The 8,155-nt window shown below is 42.3% G+C and overlaps 1 annotated feature.

The window, feature by feature from the left end:
- Positions 6,383–6,583: a silencer, noted in NCBI's record as "peak2941 fragment used in MPRA reporter construct". NCBI's record gives its function as "represses an SCP1 promoter by STARR-seq MPRAs in K562 erythroleukemia cells {active_cell/tissue: K562}" and the evidence as "EXISTENCE:reporter gene assay evidence [ECO:0000049][PMID:32103011]".

Below are 8,155 nucleotides of genomic sequence, written 5' to 3'. Positions count from 1 at the left end.
TGTGGAGCTCTACTGCTCTTCACAAAGAGAGGTCGTGGAAGGCACCAAAACAGAACCCCTGGAGGCTAAGGGAGGCCAGGGGTGGGGTGGCAAGAGGGGTGGTCAAGCTGAAAGTGAACATAAAGGTAGTTAAGGACAAAGTTCAGAATGGGGCCAAGGTGGAAAGGGAACAGTCTGTGACCTGGTTCATGTACATCCACTTAACAAGGACACTCACTGATGAGCTAGCCACCTGATGCTTATTACATTGTTGAAAAAAATAATAATAAAACACCTGGTACTGCCTTTGGGTTGATAAGCCAATATCTTTAATCTTTCTCTTTCTTTCTCTTTTTTTTTTCCTTGATGACTGAAGTGCCCTCTCTGTGCGGCCTTCTGCTCAATCCACACTGGTAATAGTGACAAGACTTTGATGTCCTCCTCCTTCAACAGAATGTTGTTTAGTTCAAAGTGAAGAACAGAGGCAATTCTTTGCTTTTAAATTATTAGCTCCCTAAGTCTTCTGTAATGATATAGTTTGACTGGTGTGTGCAGTTTATTAACTACATAAAGACGACATTATCAGAGCAGAGAAAGGCCGCTGTGAGTTTTGCCTTTCAGCCTAGCAGCAGGGATCCCTGATACTTTGATCTCAATCAATGCTAAATGTCTTTGTGAGATAGAGAGAGCGCTGAAATTATCTTTGGCATGGCGGCAGCATCAATTATTCAAGCCCTTTTCCTTATGAATTAAAGTGTTCTTCAACTTTTACCCCACTTGTGGGTTTGGATTTTTTTTTTTCTTTCTTTCTTTTATTGTTGTTTTTCCAGCCAGGAAAGGCACTTGGAATAAGTCTAAGAGTTCACTAATTGTACTCTGCCTGACCTTTGAAAATCCACATCCACTTCTCCTCCTCCTTCCTAATTGCTCTCTCCACCCTCAATTCCGAGCCCTGGTCTTCTCTGAGGTGACCCGAAGAACTATTCAGAGAAAAGGGGGACATTGTTTCTACTGGGCTTTGTGCCAAAATGGTCAGCAAAGCCAATAAAGTAGCCCCTTGACAAGAAGCATCAGTTTGAAATGCAATGAAATGGAGGCATCCATGAGCCACTAGAAACCCTCCCAGCTGACCTCAGGGCTCGCAGTGCCTCCCAAGGAGCAGTTTGACTATTAAATTAGGCTTATGATCAAGACCCAGTTCTCCTTAATACACCCACCCTCTGGAATGGTGATCTCCAAACTACAGGCTGAGACTCATGAGGGGGTCATCAAATTAGTTCAGTAGGTCTCGTACAGCAGAAAAGGGAAAGGAAGGGAAGGGAAGGGAAGGGAAGGGAAGGGAAGGGAAGGGAAGGGAAGGGAAGGGAAGGGAAGGGAAAAGATCAGCGCATTTGATATATTAGGATAAGCATTCTCGAAACTTTTGTTTCACTTACGAGTATGCAGCCAGGCACAGTGGCTCACGTTTGTAATCCCAGCTACTCTGGAGGGAGATGGGGGAGGATTGCTTGAGGTCAGGAGTTGAGACCAGCCTGGGCAGCACAGAGAGACCTCATCTCCAAAAAGAAAACAAACAAACAAACAAAAAACAGATATGAGTACATTGGATCACCAAATGTCTTCACTGCCCCTTTACCCACAAAGAGACCCTGAGATAAAGAGTTTATTTTTTAAAATTTGTGTGGGTACATAGTAGGTGTGTATATTTATGGGGTACATGAGATGTTTTGATACAGGCATGCAATGTGAAATAAGCACATCATGGAGAATGGGGTATCCATCCCCTCAAGCATTTATCTGTTGAGTTACAAACAATCCAATTACATTCTTTTTTTTTCTTTTTTGAGACGGAGTCTCACTCTGTAGCCCAGGTTGGAGTCCTGTGGTGCAATCTCAGCTCACTGCAACCTCCACCTCCTGGGTCCCTATTCAAGCGATTCTGCTGCCTTAGCCTCCTGAGTAGCTGGAATTGCAGGTGTGCACCACCATGCCCAGCTAATTTTTGTATTTTTAGTAGAGACAGGGTTTCACCATGTTGGCCAGATGGTCTTGAACTCCTGACCTTGTGATCCACCAGCCTCGGCCTCCCAAAGTGCTGGGATTACAGGTGTGAGCCACCATGCCCGACCTCCAATTACATTCTTTAAGTTATTTTTAAATAAACAATTAAGTTATCATTGACTGTAGTCATCCTATTGTTTGAGATAAAGGTTTGAGGGCAAATGGGTTATTGTGGGGGAGGTCATTCTAGAATGTACTGCGAGGGAATGGAAGAAAGGAGGCAACGAAAGAGAAAAGTCAGTGAAGCACTTGTTTATGACCGGGCTCCTGCTTTGGGACCCTGGAGCTCAATCTCATGGAGACTCTTGGAGGGACCCTGTGGACCGTGCCTCAGAGCTGTCCCTACCTAAGATGAGGAAGTGGAGCATCAGCCATAACACCCGTCCTCTGTTGGTTGGAGTCTCAGCTGGGCATTAGTTCCTAGGATGCGCCTCATAGGGACCAAGTGTGCCCCCATGGCCAGAGAATGTCCTTGAGAGGGCTGGGTCATCCATAGGAGTGCAAAGGAGCTGCCTACAGTGACTTCGGGGTAGACCCAGGGCATACAGATGGAGCACCAACAGCGTGGGCTCTGCCCTGTAAAATGTATTCCTTACCATGCACGGCAGTCAGAAAAGTTCAAATACCCATGCCCTGGCAGATAAAAGTAGGAGAGGCACCATCCACACCACTAAAATATTCTATAAACTTCTAGGCTTTTTAACAACTCCATATTAACTCCATGTTAATACTTACTAGGTGTACCCTACAAATCAATGACATTGGCACAACATAAAATTCTGTAGGTCAATGAGGAGCCTAGCATGGTGTTTGGTGCTACTTCTTTTCTTTTCTTTTCTTTTTTTTAAATTGAGACAAGGTCTCACTCTGTCACCCAGGCTGGAGTGCAGTGGCAAAATCATGGCTTGTGGCAGCCTCAACCTCCCAGGTTCAAGTAATTATCCTACTTCAGCCCCCATCCCCACTCTCACCCCCCAAGTAGCTGGGACTACAGGTGTGTGCCACCACACTCGGCTAATTTTTGTAATTTTTGTAGAGACGGGGTTTCACTATGTTGCCCAGGCTGGTCTCAAACTCCTGAGCTTAAGCAGTTGGCCCACCCCAGCCTCTCAAAGTGCCAGGATTATAGGCATGAGCCACTGCACTGCCCTGGAGCTACTTCTGAGTTGAATTTAAAGCCACGGTGTGTATGAGCCACAGGGGATCACTGAGGACCTATTGAATATTTAACACTGTGCTTAGTGCTTTGGGAAATTAAGATCTTGGGGTGTTGGTGATCTGATGGGAAGACAAAAAACAATGGTGCTAGGAAACCATTATGCATCGTCAATCACCAACAGGAACCAGGACTCTTCCTACAGCCTTCCTTTCACTCACTCTCACTCCTCTCACCTTGGGCACCCAAGCCCTGTGATTTCATCTCCTTCATATGTCCAGAATCAATCCCTCTTCTCTCATCCCATCCACAACAGTTTGTTGCCGGGATCATTGCAGTAGACACATAACTGGATACCTGTCCTCCCCTTAGTTACCACCTTAGGGACCTATGGCACATTTTTAAAATGTCAGTTAACTGGAGAATGAGACTCGACCTTGACTAAGTTGGCCTCCAGAGTTAGGCACAAAAGGGAAAGCCGTTAGGCCAGGTAGGAGGCTGGGGAAGGAGGGAAAAAGAGTCCGTAAAGGCTTCCTAGAGAAGGTAATGCTTGAAGTGAGTCTTAAAAAACTGGGTAAGACACTTCTTAATAATGTCACACAGGGCCAGGCACAGTGGTTCACGCCTATAATCCAGCACTTTGAGAGGCCAAGGCGGGTGGATCATCTGAGGTCAGGAGTTCAAGACCAGCCTGGTCAACATGCAAAACCCCATGTCTACTAAAAATACAAAAATTATCCGGGTATGGTGGCATGCACCTGTAATCCCAGCTACTTGGGAGACTGAGGCAAGAGAATCTCTTGAACCTGGGAGGCAGAGGTTGCAGTGAGCTGAGATCGCACCACTATACTCAAGCCTGAGTGACAGAGTGAGATTCTGTCTCAAAAAAAAAAAAAGAAAAAAAAAATATATATGTCAGGCAGGCAGGATGGAAGAAGAGCATGAGAAACTTCTGGAAAAAGAAAGCAGCATGATGAGTTTAGGGAATGCAAGCAGCTGTGTGTCCCCTAAATAGCAGGAAACCTGTAGGAGGGATACAGGAAGAGCAAAGCCTGGAGGAACCCACTTGGGGACAACCTTAGATGTCATTCCAGGAAGTTTGGTCACCATTCTGAAGTCAGTGTGGGACCACAGAAGGATCTTAAGCAGGGTGCTTGCATGCTCATGTCTGTGTTATTAAACACTCACACTGGAGGCATTGTGCAGAATAGGTAGCAAGGATTAGAGATAGGGAGCCCAGAGAGGAGGAGGTGGGCTCTGCCAGAGATGGCCGTGATTTAGACAAAGATCATAGCAGTGGGATGAAAGGGATGGTACTTCTTAAATTATAATACCCAGAGTGCTGGTATTAGTCTGTTCTCATGCTGCTGATAAAGACATACCCAAGACTGGGTAATTTATAAGGAAAAAGAGATTTCATAAATTCACAGTTACACGTGGCTGGGAGGCCTCACCATCATGGCAGAAGGTGAAAGGCACATCTTACATGGTGGCAGGCAAGAAAGAATGAGAGCCAAGCAAAAGGGGAAACCCCTTAAAAAACCAACAGATCTTGTGAGACTCATTCAATACCATGAGAACAGTATGGGGGAACCACCCCCATGATTCAATTATCTCCCACCAGGTCCCTCCCATAACTCATGGGAATTATTAGAGCTACAATTCAGGATGAGATTTGGGTAGGGACACAGCCAAATGATATCAGTTGGTATACCAGCTGGTGCTTAGAGAAAGTCCTGATTGGCCACATGACTCATGTTATCCATGGGATTAAAAGAATAGTAAAATTTAAGTGGGTGAAATGAAAACTCTCATATTCTGCAAAGCATGTTCTCCTGGAAGGCAATGATCAACTGGTATTAGGGGCCTTAAGGATTTTTTTTGCATTTGACCAAGCAATTCTACCCCTAGAAACTTTTGGTGAGAAACACCTATAAAAGTAAAAAATTTTCTCAGGAGAATTAATTCACACACAAAAAATATTAAAAATTACAAATTAAAAAATTTTAATAGTACAAAATTAGAAATATTCCAAATATCCAACAAAATGAGATTATGCTATATCTCTACAATTGAATACCCATTATTAAAAATGGTGTGGAGATGAATATTTATTGGCATGGGAAAGTGTGCATGACAACTTAAATGAAATGAAATGAAATGAATGAATTGAATAAATGAATGATGAATGAATAAATGAATGAAATGAAAAAAAGGCATGTATTAAACTGGGTGAGAGGCATACAGAAACTCTCTGTACTATCTTTCCAACTTTTCTGTAAATATAAAACTATTCTAAAATTTAAAAGTTAATTTAATTTTTTTTTTTTTGAGATGGTCTCTCTTTGTCACCCAGGCTGTAGTGCAGTGGCGCGATCTTGGCTCACTGCAACCTTTACCTCCTGGGTTCAAGTGATTCTCATGCCTCAGCCTCCCGAGTAGTTGGGACGACAGCCATGTGCCACCACACCCAGCTAATTTTTGTATTTTTAGTAGAGACGGGGTTTCACCATGTTGGTTAGACTGGTCTCAAACTTCTGACCTCAAGTAATCTGCCTGCCTCAGCCTTCCAAAGTGCTGGGATTACAGGCATAAGCGACCGCGCACAGCCTTATTTAAATATTTTTAAAAGCAAGTATTTATAGTACTATCTCATTTTTATTTGACGCACACACCTAGAACTATATACTTGAAGGTGATTACAGTGGTTATCTCTGTGTGGTGGGATTCGAGGGTTTTATTTTTTACTTTTTACTCATCTGTACTTTCTCTTTTCTACAATAAATATGTATTGCTTTTAGAATGAGACAGTAAATTAAATTTATCTTGAATGTTCTTTTAAGGGAAGCTTAGCAAATAAGAACAGAAGAAAGAGTTGTGCCTAGAGGAAGATACATGGTCAAGGGATGGTTTATCTTTTTAGTCTTTATTCTAGTTACAAAATCATATTTCAAGTGTATAGAAAAAATATGAACATTACAAAAATGTAACAAAAAGTATAATAATCACATGTAATCTTGCTGCTCAGAAATAATCACTGGGTAGTGGACATTGGTCCTCTCTTTAGAGTCCTGGATCGCTTTTTCCATTTCTGGAGCTCCTCTATAGACTTCAGTGTGGTTTTGCTTCTAACCCCCAGCATCTGGGATTCTGGAAGACTGCCCACTAGTTATCAGAGCTGCTTTGTGCAAATGTGCAGAGAGGTGGAAGTAACTGGGCAGATAATACTCAAAGGAGTACAAAATCCTGGCAGGTGCACCTCCCACTCCAGGGTTGTCCTGTGAGAGGAGACTGAAGCTACTCTCCATGGTACTGACATGCCACCCTTTCTTGGCTTCTCCCCTTGCCTGTCCTGCTTCCCCGATCCCTGACTAATTTTTCCAGGAACCACTTATCTAGTTAATCCCTTGCACATGAATTCTCATCTCAGGGTCTGCTTTTGGGAAACAAACCTAAGATGTTGCTGATAAAACATTAACACATTTCTTTCCATTCTCTTTCCTATACATTAAATATGTGTTTCATTCTTTTTTCTATACATTTAACACATGTACAGCTCTGACACACACTACTTATGGAAGATTTGGCTCTGATCTTCCCAGAGCTGGTGCTTAGAGAGAGTCCTGATGGGCCACATGATTCATAGCACCCATGGAAATTGGGCGGTCTAAGGGAGTCACTATTCAGCTTCAATCAGGAATTGCCATATGGGAACATTATTGCCAGATCTTTCAGTTTTCAAGAGGACCTGGGAACCTGAATTTATATAAAAAAAAGCTCAGTTTTAATATATTGAAAATAAATTCTTCTTATTTTCAAAACACTGAGCCAAAGAAATATGACCATGAGCCAAATCCAAAGCATGACTGATAATTTGCGACCAGTCCTAAAGGGGGAAAAGAATGCATGATCTTCAGAGAAGCCAACAAAGTAAACTGTTTAAGAAAATATTGTATGTGCAATAAATATGACCTGAAGAAAATATACCAAAATGAACTTTGTTTATACTTTTATTATAATAGACTGTATTGATGTTTGTTTCTTTACATCTGGTTCCCTAAGGAGTCAGTTTCTCAAAGGAAGGGATGGTTTCTCTTATAGCTAGCATCTGATCAATGTCAGTGGCATTGATATTTGAATAAATGAATTTATGCCCTGGCTTATACATTTCCCTGCAGATGTATATGCCCTGTGTCCTATGGTGCTAGCCTCTTCTCTGTGATAGACTGCTTCTTTGGAACCCATTATGACCTTACTTCGCTATGTTCCTGCCCTAAATCTGATGCCACCAAACACTATTCTCTTGTCCTCAACCCTCATTCTCTCACTCAAATGATTCCCTAAGTCTTATTCAATCTATGATCTACATATCTTTCAAATCTGTTTCTTTCCATCTTCATTGCCACTTTCTTGGTTCAGCCAATGTATTTTTTACATTGCTCCTAGAGAGAGCTTCAATCATAGAAATCTTATTGTGTCTTTCCTGATTTAAAATCTTTTGGTGACTTTCCACTGTCTTATAGAATAATTCCCTATTTAGAAAGTGCTTATAACCTGGCTCACTCCTCTAGCTTTGTCCCTGGTCCCTCCATTCCTCACACTTGTTTCTGGCCATATGAATGACTTACAACATCCTGAAACTATCAGAAAAGCTACAGATCAGAAGAGCTGATTGAGAATTACGTAATTTTTAATTAATATAATGGGAAAACATATAAATGCTAAATAAACTCCATTTCTTAATTCCTTTTAAACTTGGTATATGTGAGTGGAATACAGTAATAATTTTTTTAAAAGCTGCAGGCCGGGCACAGTGACTCACGCCTGTAATCCCAGCACTTTGGGAGGCTGAGGCGGGTCGATTACCTGATGTCAGAAGTTCAGGACCAGCCTGGCCAACATGGTGAAACCCCATCTCTATTAAAAATACAAAAATTAGCCAGGCATGGTGGCAGACAC

This window comes from Homo sapiens, chromosome 17 (assembly GCF_000001405.40).
Source record: "Homo sapiens chromosome 17, GRCh38.p14 Primary Assembly".
Classification (NCBI taxonomy): Eukaryota; Metazoa; Chordata; class Mammalia; order Primates; family Hominidae; genus Homo; species Homo sapiens.
Note: the sequence above shows the minus strand (reverse complement) of the source record. Positions and strands in the feature narration are given on the sequence as shown.